This window comes from Homo sapiens, chromosome 18, assembly GCF_000001405.40.
Source record: "Homo sapiens chromosome 18, GRCh38.p14 Primary Assembly".
NCBI classification, from domain to species: Eukaryota; Metazoa; Chordata; class Mammalia; order Primates; family Hominidae; genus Homo; species Homo sapiens.
In genome coordinates, this window is record NC_000018.10 from 56,947,441 (window position 1) to 56,968,075 (window position 20,635).

The following is a 20,635-nucleotide window of genomic DNA, read 5'->3' on the forward strand; positions in this document are numbered from 1 at the left end:
ACAGCATCCTCAGTTAAAAATACCCTAGACGCCAAGAAAGTAGAACTGACTCCTTTCAAGGCTTGGGAGGATAAACATCACTGAAATTTCTTCAGAATTCCTTGTTAAAATTCCTTTGCAAGTTGCCACGTTACTGAACTCAGATCCCCTTGTGAAGTCCCTCACGCAGAAGACCAATCAACACGGAGTGTGCCATGCTTGACTCAGTTGGATTATGTGTCTTCCTTTGGTCACTGGATCAATGCTGACTGGTGTTACACTACTTAGTGTGCTGCAGCATCATGAAACGTGAAGGCGTAGAGCAGTACTTGCGGTGTGTTCTGCACAGATGCTACTGAGTCCAGAGAAAAGCACTCTAGAATCTGTATGTGTGATACGCACATGTTCCAAAAGGAATGCTTGTTTTTTATTTGGCAAAAGTATTCTTTACTAATGTCAGAATAGAGAGGTTTAAGCTCTTGGAAGCTACTATCAAGGCTCCGTTAGAAATGAAGATAAAATACTTCTACAAATATAATGTACTTTGTAAGTTTACGGTGATTGTATTATGATCTTGAGGTCTGGTAGTGGCGTAATGCATGACAAATAAAGGATTAGGGTTTTTTTTTAATGAAATTGTAAGTCATAAGAGATTTTAGGATTTCTTCAGAGCAAAAATTAGATATGCCTCTAGACGTGATTTTTGGTCACTTAAAACTGCACAGTCGTACATTATATGCACGACTGCACATTATAAGTAGCTTAAAACTGCACATTATAAGTAGCTTGAGGAAAGGGGCTTTCCCCTTCATTTCTTTTATAGCAACTAGTAGAGGACTCCAACTAGCCAAAGACCATATGTCCCAGCATTCCCAGATAGGTCCTTATTTCACTCACTTTTATTGTTTTAAGTTAAGGCAGTTTATTTGATGTATAACCAAGAATGATTTAATTTTATGGTTTTCAAAGACTTGTCAAATAAATTCACAGATTCAAAAAAAAAAAAGATCCTTTGTTGGGCTCTGTCCCAATTTTTAGTTTAAAAAAATATACGCCCTCAATGTAGCCACTCAGTTCAGTAACTGTGCTTGAATAATGACACTAGCTATGGCGCTTCATGTGTTTAGTCCTTAATTTCATCCTAATAAATGGCATCAGTTCTTTCGCTTAAGCAGTGACCTTACTGCATTATTTTTATAGAATTACAAGTTGTAAAATTTTGATTCTATAAAAGACCTTCTGTTATGACTTACTGCCTCCTGTCCTTCATTTTAAAAACAGGCAAACTGATGAGCTTTTTTTGTGCTGACAATCAGACCAAAGTGAAGCCCAGCTTTCCTGAACAGATCTCATCCCTGCTCTGTGCTCTTCAGAGTGGGGTGTGCACTCTTACACAGGCTTACACGTGTCAGGGGCACACATGGAGTTCAGCCATCTCATCAGAGGATGAGCTGACCATTGCTGAGTTCCAAGCCCAGGCCTCTTCCTCTCCATCCTTCATCTCATTTTCTCTCTATGGCATCTCTTTCTCAGCCTGGAAGTGTATTTTGTTCTCTTGTAAAAACCCTTCCTTCTCTCTGCATCTTCTCCACCTACTGTCCAGTCCATCCTTCTCCAGGACAAGGAGTTTACACTTCATCCAGTTTGTCACCTCTCCCACTCTCTTCATCTACTGGAATCTGATTTTTGCCCCCACTGGTTTTCTAAAGTCTCTCTCTCTCTCTCTCTCTCTCTCTTTCCCTTTGGCTACAAGCAATCTTTGATTACGAAATGCTTTTCAGTCTTTAAAGTAGTGGTTCTCAAACTTTTTGGTCTCAGGATCTCATCAAAATTGAAGACCTGAGTTTTTGTTTATGAAGGTTGTATCTATATTTTCATCTTTTAAAAATTAAAACTGAGCATTTTAAAAATATTGATTTATTTAAAATAAACTCATTTTGCATTGATGTAGAAATATTTTATGAAAAATACTTTCCAAAATGAACAAATATTGAGAAAAGTAGCCTTGCTTTACATTTGTCAGATCTCTTTACTGTCTAGAAGACAGGTGGAATTTAATATCTATGCATGTCTTTCATCTGTTGCAGTATATTGTTTTGGTTGGAATATATGGTCAGAATTTAAAAATCTGCTTGCGCAGACGTGTAGTTGAAAAGTGAGGAATGTTTTAATAGCCTTTTCAGGTAATTTTGTATCTTCTTGGGCACTACACCAAAACTCAACATGTGATTGTTTTTTAAAGGTTAGTTGCAGTATGGAATCTGCAGTCACATGAACTTTACTGTTATATTAAATCCACCAGTGTATCTTGCACTTTGAATGGGTCTTTCACCTGCCTGTGATTTTGTAACATTATGCACTGGTCTTCGGAGAATGTTGGTCCACTGAGTTATGTTGTCTCTCCATATATGGTCACTTTGCATTTAACAATATTAAAATAGCACATTTGCTAATATTACTGCTGATCTCCTCAAAAAAGTTAGTTTTGAGAAGCCAGATACAGGCTTCCAAAATTCTTATTTTTACTTAAAAGCTTGAATTTATCGTTGGCAATAAATCTTGTCAGTTGTTTTCCTGGAAAGGCTTAACTTTGTTCATATTCAAGAAAGTATCTCCCAAATAACTGTAGTTTTTCTCTCAGTTATGCTTTCAAGTAAATGGTGTTCGATGAGAAAAGCAGCTAGTTCATTTTGCAAGTCAATCTGACGAGTGTTTTTCTCCAAGACAACCATGAGATTTCAGTATACAGAAGTGCTTTGTGTGTACTTTCCACTTTGTCACACTGAATATTGAAACAATGTGTACTCAAGGGTTGAAATTTAATTGATTAATAACTTTTTCATCATGGATATTCTGAAGTGAAACTGTTCTGTTGTTTTGCTCACTGCCAGCGTGGCAGTGAAGAATATAGCAACTGCTAAACTAGTACGTGTCAGTGCCCCTGCCTTGATTCGGGTTAAAGTGCCAGCAGTTTTACCCACCATTGCTTTTGCACCATCAGTGCAAAGTCAACACGATGAAAAGGTCAAATAATACCTCAGTATTTTTATGAAAATTGTTTTGATCTCATAGACTTCTCAAAGGAAAGGCATCTGCAAACCACAGTTTGAGAACCACTGATGTAGTGAAATCCTTTTGCACAGAATCATGAAACATATTTTTTCTTTCTTAAAACTCGTTATTTTCTGCATCTCCCATATCCCAAAGTGATAACCTTTCCTACAATCCAGTACCTGGAGAGAAGGTAGGCTAGATTTCAGGAAAACTAAGGCTACGTTTCCTGTAGCTCAATAGAAATCCTGAAACTTCTACTTATTTTAAAGGACCATTAACTTTTCTTGGGATTCCTGACTGTCCTCAAATTCCAGTGCCACTGATTCCAGAAGGGGACCTCCTTAAGGAACCATGGGCATTTGATGTTAAATCACCATGGTACATAATACTTGGTAGCAAATCTGCCTATTGTTTTGAGGTCATGTTATAGATGACGTCCTCTTAAATGTGTCAGGCTTGCATTCTTGAAGTGCCATTCTCAAATTCTGTAGGCTCAGGGCCCATTAGTCTTTTTTCTTTTCCTTTAATAAGGCCAAGCTTATTCCTACCTCAGAACTTTTGTTGTTGCTATTTCCTCTGCCTAGAAGGCACCTCCTCCAGATATTGACGAAGCCAGCTTGGTCTCACCGTTCAGGTCAACCTCCTCTGACCTCCCTATGTATAATAGCCTCCTCGCCATCACTCTCACATTATTACCCTTTTAGCTTCACAGAATTCTATAATCTTCACTCCTCTTGTTTATCCTTTTTTTACTCATTAGGCCCTTAAGAACAGGGAACTTCTCTGATAATTTCCTATTATAGTCCCAGCAACCTTAACTGTTGAATGATGAATGCAGAGACCCTGTGCCTGCACTGAGGATTAAAGAGCCTGCTCCTAGAACAGAGAGCCAGGGCGCACACTCCCGTACCTCTTCCTCACACCCTCTTCCTCACCTTTGTTACCTTGGCTTTCCCTTCTCTAGTTGACAGTTACCTCTCCCCATCCTAAATGTCATCTCATCTGTCGATTCTAAGGTTATCTTACAGTTTCTTCTCAGCAACCCTAAGCATTTGTGTTTAGCTTGCTTTTGTGTCTTTGAAACAAAATTCTCAAAGATACAGAATATATATAATTCCCTAAAATATGGAATTTATATATGAAATCTTAAGATATATACACACGTGATGTATATATCTTAAGCTACATATATACTGTATATCTGTATTATATCTTAAGATATTTATATGCACACTATATGTATATACACATGCACATATACATATATGCATATATACACTATGTATATAGTCTGCTTTTTCAAAGATTTAAGACTCTAAGTGAATAATTTTCAACCTCTTTAATCTTAGGACCCCTTTAAACTCTTAAAAATTATTGAAGAGCCCAAAGAACATTTGTTTACAGTGAGTTATAACTATCAATATTTGCCATATTAGAAATTTAAACTGAGAAATTTTAAAATTATTTATTTTGTTTAAAAACCCATTATATGTTAACATAAAAATACTTTTATGAAAAATGATGTTTGCCAACCTCTTTGATGTCTGGCTTAACATAAGTCAGCTGAATTATCTTATCCGCTTCCACCTGTGATATCTCAGATCATGTAAAATCTGGAAAACTCAGCTATGCATTTGTGAGAAAATGAGAGTGAAAAGGGCAAATAACATCCTGGTGTCAGTGTGGACACTTGAGAAGCACTGCTCTCAGCTGTCCCTGTGGGACTGCCTCTGGTGAGACAGCGAATTCCAGGTGGTGAGGGCTCCCGCCTTTGCCACACCCAGCTGTGCAGTCTGGAGCACATCACTCGACTTCAGTTTCCTCCTGTATGAAACAAGGGGCTCTTGTGCCTGCTAACCTTGGCAACATTCAACTCCAAAATATTAAAATTTTTGCGTAGCAGCTACTTTTCTCGTGACTGACTTACAAATATATGATTACCAACCATTGTCTTACAATACTGAAACATGTTAAAATATATACATCTTAATGCAGGGCTATATGAATGCTGCAGCTTCTTTGATGCCTTCCTAAAAATTCTTTGAAATAATTACTCTCAAACGTAATCCTACACTAAGACTATTTAATGAACAAAGAACTCAATTAATATGGAAAGTAAATCACATGTTTTAAGAAAAACAAGGAGTTCCTATTTTGTTTAATGCTATTTTTGTATCTGATGAAGTTTTATGGAGAAAAACGTTTAAGTGGAAACCAAACGGATAGTTTTTTAAAAGCATATTACCTCTCTTACATTCAGACAATGGAATATTTTTCAGCACTATTAAAAAATTAGCTGTCAAGCCATGAAAAGACATGGAGAAATGCATATTACTAAATGCATATTACTAAATGCAAGAAATCAATCTGGAAAGGCTATCTATTATATGATCCCCAGCTATATGACATCCTGGAAATGGCAAAACTATAGTCAGAAAAAGATTAGTGGTTGCCAGAGGTCGGGGGAGAAAGGATTTTCAGGGTAGTGACACTATGTTATATGATACATATGATACTCTAATGGTAGATGTATGCCATTATACATTTGTCAAAATCCATAGAATGTACAAAACCAAGAGTGAACGCTAATGTGAATGATATGTAAATTTATCAGAAAGCTGTCACCCTGGTGGAGGATATTGATAGTGGGGGAGGCTGTGTGTATGCAGAGGTAGGAGTAATATAGGAACTCTCTCCTCATTTTGCTTTGATTTTAAAACATCTCTAAAAAATAAACCGTATTTTTAAAAAAGCATATCATCCACTCAGTATACTTATTAAAGAGATGAAAAATCAATAGAAACTTCAGTCATATTTAATGTTGATATTTATAACACTATATGGTGTTTATCTTTAGAACTGAAAATAAAAATGAAAATATTTTAACTGACTGGTTTTTAACATATAAATGGCTAATCTTAGTACCCAATTCCAAAATTAGAAAAAAACAAGCCACTCAACAAATAGGAATCAAAAAATTGAACTTGTTCAATTTAACAAAGTAAAATAATTTTTAAGCACTTGTGTGACTTCTCTGAAAATTTCCAATTCATTCAATTCTTCGTTTGTCTGTGCTGTGTGCTATGCTGGGCCTGTCAGGCAGTCCCTGCCCTAAAGGGCCTTAAAGTTGGCTTGGCAGAGACAGAGAGATCAATCAGTGAGCTGTCACAAACACTATGAGAAAAGAGTGTCCAGGACACACAGAAGAGACCCAGTGCCATGATAAGAGGGACACAAAGGAGGGAGCTGGCAGTTTTGCATAGAGGAAAGGAGAACTGGTAGTATTTTTAGCAGAGTTTTCAAAGATGAGTAGATGTTTGTCAGGCAGATATATCCTTCTGACTCCAAAATCTATGCTTATTTTTATATATAAGAATGACTCTCATTGAACGAAATACTAATTAAACACTATTGTGAATCGCTGACTAATGAATCAATGATTACTTTGCAAAAATTACAGTGTGTATTCTTTTACATTGCATATTTCATGGCAAAGAATGAAGAAATTCTCAAGCACTATGTGCATAGAACTGAACAATGCATGTAATGACTCAACTACTTTGGCTTTCCAGTAGATATTAAAGACATTAGTAGTGGCATGGAGGGTACTAACTTTAAAGGACTTGGGATATAATTTTCTCTAATTTACTTAAGATGTTACTTCTATATTCACAAGTAGAAATCCCTCTAAAATCATTGACATTAAAATTTAAAGTGTTTAATACTGTTTTTGCTGGATTTAACTGATTAACTTTTAGTTGACCTTTGTCGGAAGTTATGTTGGTATTTACATAGAATAATATGCTTTATATTAAAACACTCATTCACTTGTGTCCTCTAAATGAAATTATTTCTTACTAACAGTTGCCTCTATTAAATGTAGAGAACTGTGGCATACCATACAGCCATTAAAAAGATTGAGGTAAGCCATTTCTACTGACATGGAAAGATGTTAGCAAAAGAGAAATTTTAAAAGAAGCTAGCAATATTGCAGAAGAGTATGTAAAATAAAATCATTTTTAAAAAAGAAAACTATATGTGAAGATCAATATTCATACCTATACAGGTATATATATGAAGAGAAAAAGATCTGGAAAGACACACCCCAAGCTATGACTGGTGAATACTGGGGGTGATGGGAGGGAATTATTGGTAAAGAGTTACGTTCACTTCTTAACTGTTTTTCTATGATAAATCATCTGTGTTTCTCTTTTCAATGAGTGTGTGTTTCTTTAAAATTGGATATATATTAGAATAATGCAAATGAAAGAAATAGTAAAAAGTGTCATTGGGGAAACGTTATAGCTATAACACAGATAAGATTTAAAAAATTCAAGGTAAAATAAGTGTTTAAACTTTTGAACTGAATGAAAAAACTAATCTAGACAGAACAGTTAAAAGTCTGCATTTTCAGAGATAGCTTACCTTTTCTTAAACTTCGTTATTATGTAGACAGACTGATTGATTTTGCTTTTCAAGTGAAAAGCTGAATCAGCTCTGTTCACCTAAATGGGCACTTAAAATCTAGTAAGGAAATGAACACTGTCTACTTTAGAACAGTGCATGAGCTCATATTTTAAGAAACTCCTCCAAATCTGTGGTTTGTTTTTATCCCATATGGTGATTACAATAATGGGATGTAAAGTAGCTTCAGTCCTAAATTCCAGTAAAATTCTTAAGTTAGGTCTCATTTTATAGAATACATTTCATGATAAATAATTATAGATGTTACTTCTATATTCACAAGTAGAACTCCCTCTAAAATCATTCTAGTCCAGTTTGTCTATCCTAAAATCTCCCAGACAGGTGGCTGTCTTTTAATGCTAAAGTTCTTCATATTAAAACAAAAAACTTGACCTTCCAGCAGTATTCCATTTCACTGTATAACAGGAGGAATATTTAATTTTCAGCCTGTTTGAAATGCTACAGAAAAGTGTTTCAGACCAAATCCCTATTATATTAGCAAATTTAGATGGAAGCTATAAAATAATTTGCAATTATTATCAGGTTTATACTTGTAAATTGTAAGTATTTGAAAATATATAAATTTAAAATATTCTGAGCATTCATTTTCCTTATGTATTAGCATGTTATTAGTTGACACTTATTTGCCCTAGGAAAATAGCAAATTAACTACATCTTATTTAATCTCTCTGTAGTATATATTCAGAGATGCAGATGGATGATGATGATGATGATGATGATGATGATGATGATGATAGCTGATACGGTTTGCATGCACCTACCAGTGTTTACTATGTGTCAGGCACTGTTTTAGGTACTTCTGTTGCATTAACTCATTTCAACCACACAATACTTTAATAAGTACCATTATTGTTCCCCTGTTCCATATCAGGACACTGAGACATAGACAAGTTAATGAACTTACTCATGGTTACACAATTAGTAAGTATAGATCCAGGCAATAAGGAACCTGTTTCTCAGCCATTGTACCTCAAACCCTAGATGTGCATGCTATTTTTCCTTGCAGGATTGCTGATGCCTGGATAGCCCAGGAAACATTTTTGATCTTGCTTGTAACATGCCAGCTACAGTGTGCTTGTGGCAAGTTTTTCAGAGGGAAATGAACTACTCAGCAGGAAATACTTATTGACTATTTACAGTGTGCAAAACCTTGATTGGGAAGTAGTGACTCTCAAATGGAATTCCCCAGTGTCTGTCACCATCCCAGAATAAGAGATATTTCATTTGGTTTTTTGAACTAGTGCTCTCCACAGGAATGATGCATTTCTGGAAAACATTGCCCCACCCTCCACCGTTCATAGCCCCCAAAACTAACAACACAGCTCGCCCTGAGCTGATGCCTTCACCAAAGCCACCTTGATGTCTATGAACCTTTCAAACATATTAGCAGCATGGCAGTCTGAAATTCTGGAGGGTGTATGCAAACATGTTCTAGACAGTGCCTCTTCCTGAACAAAACTGTCCCCCTTGATTGTGGCTATGGCATCCATGAGGGCTGTTGACCAATTCTCTGAGAACCTACCCTTGAATCTTTTAGGCTGAGCTCCTCAAGTTTGTGGCCCCGAAAGAGCTCTTTGGCATCTTGTCCTGTCTAGCCAAGGAGGTTGAGGTAGTTGGTTGTCACTGGTACCTTCTTGGGGTCAAAGTGACATGTACATTGCTCCACTGTAGAAGTCCTGTTGTTCTTTCCTGCAGAACCAGCTTGCCTGTGTTGTGTAATCAAATCTTTCCTGTGGTTTATTGGGAATACCTCATAGGTATTTCCTTTCCCATCCAGTATGCATGATGAATAAAGGGATGCAACATGCAGTTGATTCGATTTTAAATAATTTTTCTTTACATTAAGAATGTAACCTACATGCATATCCTGCAGACTGTAACCAAGTGGATCAGTCTAAAAAGTCACTTTGTGTAAATTAAAACAAAAATGTGATACTTTTTTTCCTCTTATTGGCAAAAAAGTATGAAGTTTGGTAATACCAAGTAGGAACATTCTTTTAGTGAAAAGTGAAGGCAATTTTGCATTGTCTACTAAAATTTAAAATGTACATATGCTTTGATGCAGCTTTGGTGACTATCCTACAAAAATACCTAGGTATACAAGGATCTGTGTACAGTATAACCTAAGTTCCCATCAGAAAAAGAATGGTTAAATAATATAATGCACATACGCAGAACTACAATGCAGATGTGAGCAAGAATGACATGAGATCCATGTGTGCTGACATGAGAGGACCATCCCATGAAGAAAGCGAAGTTGCAGAAAAGTATGTGTAGTATGTACATCACTTTTGTATTAAAGGTTAGAAAATAGACGATACTTTCAAGGATCATTTCTATAGTTTGTTACTAGAGAAATTGCTCTGAATGTGTAGAGCAGCAGAAATCACAAAGAGGAGGCGCAGCATCCTCCCCTGAGCATGTTGCTTCCCTTCAACTGCGCTTTGCCATTACTGATGGTTCTTCTCTTCCTCTGCGAGAGTAAGAGGGAGAGGATGCAGTCTGAATGGGAAAAAAAAAAAAAAAGGTAGAAAAAGCTCTCTTAAGATCCAGATCCAGTAAATAGTTAAGAGTAGTTACTGTTAGTGGGTGTGAAACATTTTAAATCAATGTTAAGAATTCCTAAAAACAACTCAATAAGAATTGCTCATAATACCTCGGTTACTTTTGAAAATACATATACAGATACTTAGGACAGTGCCTGATACATAATACTCAGTAAATGTTAGCTGCACATAGTAGTAGTTGTGGTATTATTTTGGGGAAAAAAAGATAGTTTTATTCCCTATATTCTCTTTTGTGTACGCTTAGATTTAAGATGGTTTCATGTGAAGCTGGAGGTTAATCTTGGATTAATTGAAGAGTGTTTCTTGTTGCATTCTAATGTCCAAGGAAGTGATATACAGCAGTAACTTAACATCCTGAGATCATTGCAAATTGCTGAACTCATAGTTAAAGTGATTTTACAGGTTTCTATCTTTCTCCCAAGTCCTAATCTGCTGAGAGTTGCATGTTTTCTATTTCTTTTTTCAAATTAACTTTTAAGTTTCACACATTTTCTCTTATTTGCAGGCCATTTTTGATAAAGATTAAAAGTTCATCAATCCAAGGGAAAGTATAAATAGGGAGTGCCAAAGTTATTTAGAAACTCAGGTACTGAGTGTTTGGCAAACTCCCAAGCAACATGGTGTGCTTCAAAGTGATTTGCTGTGCCAGAGTAGACTCAGTTCATATTTGTGTTTCAAACTCAAACCATCCCTCTCCGGGGTTTTGTACACCCCACTGTGGGTTGCTCCTCAATAGTTGAAGTCACAAATACATCTCGGAAGAACTGGATTGTATCACTCCTCCACAATAACGTGTTCTAGTAATAGTTAACAATGATTGATAAATGATTATCTTTTAATTATGTTTTGCCCTATTTCAATAATGGCATCAAAATGATACCATTTTTATTGAAATTTGTGTGTGCTAATATAAATCTTTGGCAAATTCTTAGAGTCATTTTTTTTCCAGGACAACATTTATATTGAAAATATATTTTATTGTGTATATTATTATTTAGACTGTTTGTATTTACCTTTTTGAATTTCAGCTCATGCAATCTTTTCTAATTCCCTAATATATAACTACATATTTTTTATTATGTAACTGTCAGTCTCATGCTAAGGTACCCAGACTCCAGGAGTCTTTACAGATAACTTCTTGTAAATCTACAATTGTTTGTTTCCACTGAAAATACATTTCTAGAAGGGTCATGGGAGAGCCCATTTCTTGATTTCTGCCATTTTTGGACAGTTTTTGTTTCCTTTGTTGTTCATCTCAATTATTACTTTAGACCCTATAAAATATTCATTGGTCATAAAAATCCATGTTTAGCATAGATCATACACTGGATAATGGGTAAGTGTAATGTTTCAAACTTCACTTTCTGTTGCATCCTACTTGCTTGGACCATATTTATGTATTCATGCAAAACACAAAGTCCCAGATGGAGGATAAAAAGCAATAAATAAAAATCATTGTTTAATATCTCAATAGTGATGGACATAATAAAGAAAAAGTAGGATATTGCGTTAAAAATAATGGGTAAAAGGCTGTTGTGTTAAACAAGGTGGCCCATAAAAGCCTCCTTTGTCAAGATAACTTTGGAACAGAGATGTAAATGAAGTGAGGGCACGAGCAATGGCAGTTAACAGGCTGATGAGATTTTCAAGCAGAGGGAGCAGCAACTGTCAAAACCCCCAAATGGGAACCCCTTTGGCATATTCAAGAAAGTGCAAGGAGATCACTGTGACTAGAGCAGCGTGAACAGGGCTGTGAACAGAAGGGAGGTGATTTATTGTTGAAAAGTTACTCTGACTGCATGCGGACAATGATGAAAGCATGGAGATCAGTGACTTTCAACTTATTGGATGATGACCACCTCAGCTCCAGCAAGAAATATAATTTACATTATTACCCATTTCCACTTGATTCTTCTTTCACTGACTTGAGTGATGATGTGTTCTCTGGCTTCACAGTTTCCTTGTGGTCTGCCTAGCAGAGGAGAACTGTTGTTCAAACATGAATATAAAAATGGTTCTTGCCAGGTCATGGGCAACTGCCTAAGTGACATGTTATCAACACAGTGAACTGGAGACCAAGACACCATTTCCAGAAGGCTCAACACACAATAACACTTACTCTGAAACCCCCAAATTTTACAGGAATTTTCATCCCGTAGGAAAAATCGGTCATGCAGGATCTGGTCAAGATTAGAAAAGTGCAGCTTTAAAAACTATAACGGACCCTTCTCTTCAATCCATTGATCCCTTCAGGGCAGGGAGCAAGTAATGCATCTTGCTCCTTCGTCTTGACAGACCTTACATAGAGGACTTACCATCCTTCGTCTTGACAGACCCTACATGGAGGACTGGCTCCAGGAAAGAGCAGACCAGGAGGATGGTGGGCTCTGGAAGCCTCAGCAGGGATTGGTTCACTGCAGCTGGTTCCCATAGTGAATACTTGGGAAGTGACTGCGTACATACCACTGATTTCTTTTGTTAAGAGAGCCACTGCTAAAGGAATAAAAAGTTTAACAAGAAATCCTAAGATTAAAACATGCCTTATGACCTTCACTGTCCAGAATTCTTTAAGTTATTGTTTACAAGTATTAGTCCAGTAGTAAATTCCAAAGAATGAAAAATGCAGACCTGTAATATATATGGTCCTTTCAGGAAAAGTAACGATTTGATTCCAGGAATAGATTTGATCTTTCTTTCTACCATAAATAATGGTGTTTGTAGATGATACAGAAGGATGAGTTTGATATCCAGAGCATAGGAAATGGGCAATGTAACAAAACCTCTTCAGATTCTAGTTTCACTAAGTAAGATTTTGTCAACACAAGTATATCTTACCAATGTATTGTTTTGAAGAGGGTTATTTTGGGGGTAATTATTTTCAGTTTTGCAAAAGGATGTTGGCAATATAGTTGTTAAATTTGTGCAAATAATAGGTAAAACAAAATACCACTGCAAATTATATTTTCCTGTGCCTATTAACCTGCACAGAATAAATATTTGCTAAAACATTTGTTAGATATTATATTCTATGTACCATAATAAGACATACATTATTCATGAGTATATGTGTATAGATATAGATGTAGATGTAGGCACAGTTATGGACACAGTGATGCCCAATACTTAGACCACTGTAATTATCGAGTAACAAAACAGTAAATTGTTTTTTAAACTCTTCTAAATCATTTTCATTTTCAAATGTGAGAATGGTAGGTTTTGAATGCTGATTCCCACTCTTTCTCTTAAGGTAGAGTAATATTCTTTGGACAAGAAAAACTTTGAGAAACTAGCTTTTTCCTAACCACTTAGTAGCCAGGGAAGCTTCATATGTTTTAGGAGCTTTCTATATCCTTCCTTCTCTCAAACCAATGTACAAAGAGGACAGTGCCATTCATGAGCACAGAAAATCCACCCAGCAGGACACACTAAAGTGGTTTCCTTCCTGTTACTAAAAGTTAAAAAAAAAAAATGAGCATTAACCTTCCACTAAAGGGGAGGAGGTTGGTTATTCAGTGGGGCTTAGGGTTGGGACAAAAATATTGTTCAGTGTATTACTTGATAATAAGTAACAAAAGTTTAAAAATTTAATGGTTTGTTTTCCAGATTTATGAAATATATATGAATGTCATAGTGTCTGCTAATGCCAAATGGCTTTGTCAGAATATCCCTGGTTTCAGAATGCTCCCACATTCAAATATCTTGTCTCTCTCAGCCTCTATTACTAGAATATCAGAAATGCTGTCCCATGCCCTGGTATATCTACCTCAGGAAAGCATTAGAGAAATGAGATTTTTTTTTCTGTCATGTTTTGCCTCTTCCTCCCCCCTTATAAAATATAAATATTAACAGAACAGTTAGTTTGGTATTATGGAACCCAAGGGGAAAAGACAAAGAACGTGTAATAGAATTGGTGCAAAATCCTCCTAAATATCTAGGGTAGGCCACTTGTTCATCTGGGCAACTCACACTGAGACAATAGGACTAGATAATGGGAAGGTATATTTGAAACTATTCGCAGATATAAAATTATACCTTATTTATACTTCTCATAATTTTTATTCTTACCTTCAGGCCTCAGCCATGTAGACGTGAAATCAGTATGGCAATGCACAGACAAGGAATTCAAATACTTAACCTCATCATGAAAATTAATCTGGAAAAATAAAAATAAATAATAAATCAATCTCTTACAATCTTCAAACCATCCTTGCTAAATCCTATTTTTATGCAATGCAATATAAGTACCAAATATGCTTATTCACACTGCTAAAAGCCATGGCTATCATTAGATAAGCTGGTAAACATGGGAAATCAAGGGAACTTGACAGGATAACTTTTTCTGGTGGATAGTTTTCTAATTTTATTCTAAACTACTGATATGAACTTAGGCATAAATTTTATGTAGTCTTTTTATGATTGTTCTGCCAGAAACAATCATAAATAGAGTAAATAGTGTTTACTCTTTAATACTATAATAAACCAGGAGAACATAATTACATGGAATACGTAAGTCTTCTCATCTTTTCCATTTCTGCTCAAATAGAACTATTTGCATAGTAGTCACCGTAGCAAAATTGGATTTTCATATTTAATTTTTTTTTATTTGGCCCTTATTTCTTGTTTCAAAAATTCAAGGGTGCTTGTGATTGTAAGTTGTTTCTGTTGAAAATAATTATTAAGAGGCCAAAGTGATATTCTACATCATTTTTCTTTCAGCTAATTTTCAAGAATTACTAAAATGAAACATTTTTGAAAAATCATAATATATTTATTATGGATATATTTATTTCAAAATATATATCAGAGCTGGCTTTAACCTTTGAAATGTTGCTGTCCACTTCCAAGTGCAGGTCATCTCACCTGGCTTCTTGTTTTTGTTTTTGTTGTTAAAATGTTCAACTCAGGTTCTACATGGTCAGCTATTATGAGCGGAATCACAGAATAGCAGTTGGAGCTCGCCATGGTTCAGTGGCCCTGTACGACATCCGGACTGGAAAATGTCAGGTAAATAAATCATTGTGACTTCCTCTCCATAAAGCGTGGAAGTTATTGAAAGGAGAGAGAGACTAGCACTTCACCAGTTGACGTGCTGAGCTGCTGGAACATTATGGATAATGCTAAAGGGATCAATAGTTTAATGAAGGACGCACAGAATATAGAGCCCTACTGTCTTCATTCACTGGGACTGAAGGGTTGCCACAGAAGAGTTCATAAGAGAGCCCAGAGTAAGGTGGCACTGCTAACAAACTATTTTGCAATACATATTTTCTTGTTTTAAACCGAGTTTTCTGATCTTATTTTTGCCATGTGTTTTCTGAAAAGTTTGATGATATGTTATTATGATATAATGATTGAACAAAAATTAATTTTCTCTAAGCAAAATGAGGTATTTCACAATTATAAGACAGTGATCTAGTCAGAGTTCAAAAAAGAAAAAATCACAACAGCATTTATTATAGTTCTGTGAAAAGGAAATACATGCTGTACTTGAAATACTACTTTTTAAACTTTTGTAACACTTTATGCTTTTATAACACTTCACTGTTTGTGAAAAATTATTGATTTAGTTCCTGATCTTGATCACCTGATTCTCAATATATACCAGTTGGGAAGAGAGGGCAAATCTAACCCCACTTTAGATGTAAAGGAATTGAAACATAGCCTTAAATCACTTTATCCCAGAGTCGCACTGTTACTTCACAAAATCGGGGTTAGGCTCCACCATGATCATGGTAAATTTATAATGTTGCATTGGTAAATAGTTCCAAGTCATAGCTTCTTATATTTCTTTGTAGCATTTATTAATGTGGATATATTCCATATTATCGTATTAGGAATTTCCAGAAGGATAGGAAGAAATTCATAAGGATGTAGCTAAAATGTTAAACTGTCTGTTAAATTTAATGAACTATTAATTAATTATCTAAAAGTCTGGCTTCTTTCCATGAAGTAGTTCTAAGAGATGGTAACAGGTGTTGAGGTGTTGGGGGTAAAAATTTCAGGGGTCAGACAAGTTTAGGGGATACTGTTGGAATGTTAAACAGCTTTCTTTGTTCAGACCTTCTCAAAGTCTCTAATGTGTGAATGTGCATTGTGCATTTTCTGGGCGTGCATCAAATATGCACTATTTGCCATACTTGTTTAACTGTCAAATTTTGTTTGTGATTTTTTTTAAGACATTAACTCCCCACCATATTCTTCTACTGTGGGCCCTCACTGAGAACAATGAAAACACTCTGAATACTTGTTTAAAAGTTAAATTGCATGTTATTTATAAGATCCTTTCATAAGAGAGACAGGTTCTTCAGATAGCATTTTCAGATTCTCTTTTGTTAAGACAGTTTTTAAAACTGGAGTATATTACTGCTAGTAAATTTGAGAGAAATAAACCACAAGCATCTACCAGGTAAAGAAAAAAAAAAAAGAACAAGGTGACCTTGTCAGGCTTCTTTAAAAATGAAGTGAGGAGATCACAGAGAGGACTCTTTGTTACCACATAAGACACAGCTGCCATCAGCAGAGGAAGAGTGAGGCAGTGTGAGCACTGTGAGGCGACCCCAAGATGAGTGAGAGAACAACAGCTATTAGGAAGAATTAATGAGAAAGGACAAAGTTGTACTTCAGGGTATATTTCTGTATTTTTCTTCCTACTAAGTGGTCTCAGTGAAGATCTTGGTAACATGCAAAAAAAAAAAAAAAAAAGAATATTTTTGAATATCTTATCTTTTTCAATTAAAATACTTGAGAAACACTTATCAAAAAGACATTCTTTCTTAACAAGAATATGTAATGTCATTCATATGCCATTTTATGTATATCATTTTAGTATATTTAGGCATCTTATTTTTGTTTTGTTTGTTTTTGGGATGGAGTGTCTGTCTGTTGCCCAGGCTAGAGTACAGAAGGTGTGATCTTGGCTCACTGCAACCTCTTCCTTGAGGGTTCAAGCAATTCTCAGTTCAAGTGATTCTCACTTCAGCCTCCCGAGTAGTTGGGATTACAGGCGCACACCACCACACCTGGCTAATTTTTTTGTATTTTTAGTAGAGATGGGGTCTCATCATGTTGGCCAGGCTGATCTCAAATTTGTGACCTCAAGTGATCCGCCCACCTCAGCCTCCCAAAGTGCTGGGACTACAGGCATGAGCCACTGCATCCAGCCTATTTAGACATTTTAGTGTCCCCATAATTTTTTCCTACCTCATCTTCTTGATTTTGATACCCAAAGTTACCAACCCAAATTATTGAATAACCTTTACCTTCCACTTCTGTATGAAAGGGAAGGCTGCACCTTCCTCTCATCATTCAGAACGTGAAAACAAGGCTAAATCTCTAACATCAATCATTACTTTTGTCAGTTACCAGTTATATCCAGTGACACTGAACTCTTAAGCTATTCTCTTAATTCTTTTATTTTACTAGCATTATAATATTTGGAAAAAAATGAGCCAACATTTGAAACAAGATTCATAGTATGGGTAGCATGTTTAGAAATGATGTATTATAGGTGAATCAAAGGATCATTTTGAACTAAGAATGCAATTAAGCATTTCTTAAAGAATCTGTTGGAATCAGTTAACAGAGGGTGTGGGACAATTTTTTTTAGTATGAACAAAGACACAGCGATATCACATAAAAATACATATAAAGGGATAACTAGAAAATTCACTTGGCTGTAGGGGTATGGTCCCAGTTGGATGGAAAAATAAGACATGATCACTTAGATTGGGGGAATCACACTGAAACGCAAGAAAGGATCCTGAGGCTGAGAAGAGGCCCAGTGGGATCAGAGAACCCATGACTGAGAGACTGAAGGGTCATATATGTCCCCTGTTGTCATTGTGAGATTGGTTGGTAAAAGATAAAGGAAAAATTAAATCCTTTTCCTTTACCTTTTGGTATTGACTTCTGCCTTTTTTTTTTTAATCTGTTTTTTTTTTTAGATCTGTTATTCCCAAACAGATTATGCAAAACCACAGGATAAGTATGGCATGTTGGCCTGAAATATGAATTGTCCTTATATCAAGGGGTGACAAACTATGGCCTGAAGCTAGCCTGCCACTTGTTTTAGTAAATAAAGTTTTATTCGAACACAGGCACACACATTCGTTTATATATTGTCTACTACAATGTCAGAATTGAGTAGTTGTCACTGGCAAAAACTGTTTTGTGGTCCACAAGCCTAAAATATTATCTGGCCCTTTACAGAAAGGGTTTGCTAACCCCTACCTGAAATAATTGAGGAGGAAGAGTCAACTAATTTAAAAGTGATTTAAAACATTATAGTATAATATAGAGGATAAGGATAACTAGAAATTTGTGTGGGGTTGAACTCCATCTCTATGTTAATGATTATATATATAATTATATTGATACAAGATTAATATAATTAACTTTGTATCCTTGGAATAGTTTATTAACTTCTGTAAGCTGAAGCTTCCTGATTTGTAAAATCGTAACAGAAATAATATCTATTATTGTTAGAAGTGTTAAAGAGAAATCTGTCTACTTACTTGTTAACAAACATGGTAAAGCAGACTTTATCAAAGGCAGACATGGTGGTGGGCATAGTGACCGCTACAACGGGGTCTTGCAGTGAGGGAGAGACTCCAGCTCCTACAGGGACAATTGAGGATTTATAACCAAGGAGCAGGGTGGGGTCAGTGCATGGAAAATTGCAGTTGACCCTTGAACAAGGGTTTGGACTGTGTGGGTTCACCTATACGTGGATTTTTTTCAATAAAAGTTACGTCAAGTGTGCCTTGCCTCTCCTGCCCCCTCTTACACCTCCTTCACCTCTTCTCCCTCTGCCACCCCTGAGACAGCAAGACCAACCCCTCTTCTTCATCCTCCTCCTCTGCCTATTCAACATGAAGTTGAGGAGGATGAAGGCCTTTATGATGACCCATTTCCACTTGATGAAGAGTAAATAGATTTTCTCTTCCTTATGATTTTAATATTTTCTTTTCTCTAGCTTAATTGTAAGAATATAGTATATAACACATATAACATACAAGATATGTGTCAAATGACTGGTTTGTGTCAACTTATTGGTTAAGGCTTCTAGTCTTCTAGTACTCTATAAGTAGTAGTCAAATTTGGGGAAAGTCAAAAGTTACATGTTGACTTTTAACTCTGAGGGAGTTGGCACCCCTTACCCCTGCATTCTTCAAGAGTCAACTGTACTACAAAGAAACATCAAGGATACGGGGTTTCTGGCTAAGCTGACTAGACAGGATTCTTGCTGAAGGCAGGCCAGGGGATTAAGATATTGGAGGTATGGTCAGATGCCCAGGGAGATTTCCTTCTAACTGACTTAGGATTCTTGTTCAAACTGGATTCAAGAAGGACAGAGAGGGAAGCCCAAGTTCAGGCCTAGTCAAGCAGGGAACTCAGAGGAGCCTGATGAAGGTTTTGGTCAAAGGAGAGAGTCTGTGTCAGAAGTCAAAATGGTAACTTAGGTAAAATTCTTAGCCAGCACCAGCCAAGTAGTTAGCATTCAGTAAATGTTGGCGATTATTATATTAAAATAAAATTGGAAATATATTGCATTACAATTAAATTTCATTAATTGTAGGGAATTTTATAGATGAAACTGGAGACATCTAGGCTTTTGTAGGTGCTAAGGCCAGGAGTTCAGCCTGCTCAATAGGGAGCGCTTGGGTGGAAAAGTTGAAGCAGCACTGCCTTAGGCCATGTGAAGGTTTCCTTTCTGCAGGCTGTTCTTGCCTGTGGTGGTAGCTGAGTCTCCACTGATTATGGAGATCAGAAACTTTGATGCAATTCAGTAGTTAAGGTCCTGCTGTGCTGCTGACTGTGCTTTTACTTGGGAACCGCCAGCAATTTAGGAACATACCTGACTGGAATTTTACTTAATTTTTTTTTTAAGTATCTAACTCCCTATGAAGAAGTGCTTAAATTGTGTTTGATAGGCTGTGCTCTTGCTAAGCAGATGAATTAGGGTCCCTGACTCCTTAGCGGTCCAGGCATGTGTTTGGTTAAGTCAGCAATGAAAATCTTCCCTCTATCAATATTTGCCTTTGGTTTGGCAGACTTGATATCATATCTCACTGATTTCTAATCCTTTTTGAATGCATTCTTTGTAATAACTGCTCGCTCTTTGCAAGATTCTCTTAGGCTCGTGTTAACTAGCTTTCCTCGTGAAGTTTGTACAGTCATCCTTGGGTGGAGTATCCACAGGGAATTGGCTCTAGGCCACCCTGGGATACCAAAATCCATAGATGCTCAAGTCCCTGATATAAAATGGTGAGGCATTTACATTTAACAAAAGCACCTCCTCTCATATACTTTAAATCACCTCTAGATTACTTGTAACATCTAATACTATGTAAATGTTATATAAATAGTTATACTGTATTGGTTAGGGAATAATGACCAAAAAAAAGTCTATACACATTAAATGCAGATGCAGCCATCCATTTTGCCTCCAAATATTTTCCATCAGCAGTTGATTGAATCCAAGGGTGAGAAAACCACAGACAGACTGTACTATGTCACTTGGAGGCGTCATCCACTTTGGTAGATGTAGG

At 36.2% G+C, this 20,635-nt stretch overlaps 1 protein-coding gene and 1 pseudogene across 11 annotated transcripts in view; both read left to right on the plus strand.

Annotated features, from left to right (window-relative positions):
• The window catches only part of WDR7 (WD repeat domain 7), a 385,248-nt gene that overhangs the window by 296,082 nt on the left and 68,531 nt on the right, over positions 1–20,635 (plus strand). For all 11 annotated transcript variants that reach the window (XR_007066131.1, XR_007066132.1, XR_007066133.1 and 8 more), the window contains one exon: positions 14,990–15,089. Coding sequence is in view for 7 of the 11 variants with exons in the window: in NM_015285.3 (NP_056100.2) it covers positions 14,990–15,089 (100 nt within the window). In the remaining 4 variants the exon portion in view is untranslated. The remainder of the gene's footprint in view (positions 1–14,989; positions 15,090–20,635) is intronic.
• LOC124904382 (uncharacterized) lies at positions 9,830–10,029 on the plus strand (annotated as a pseudogene).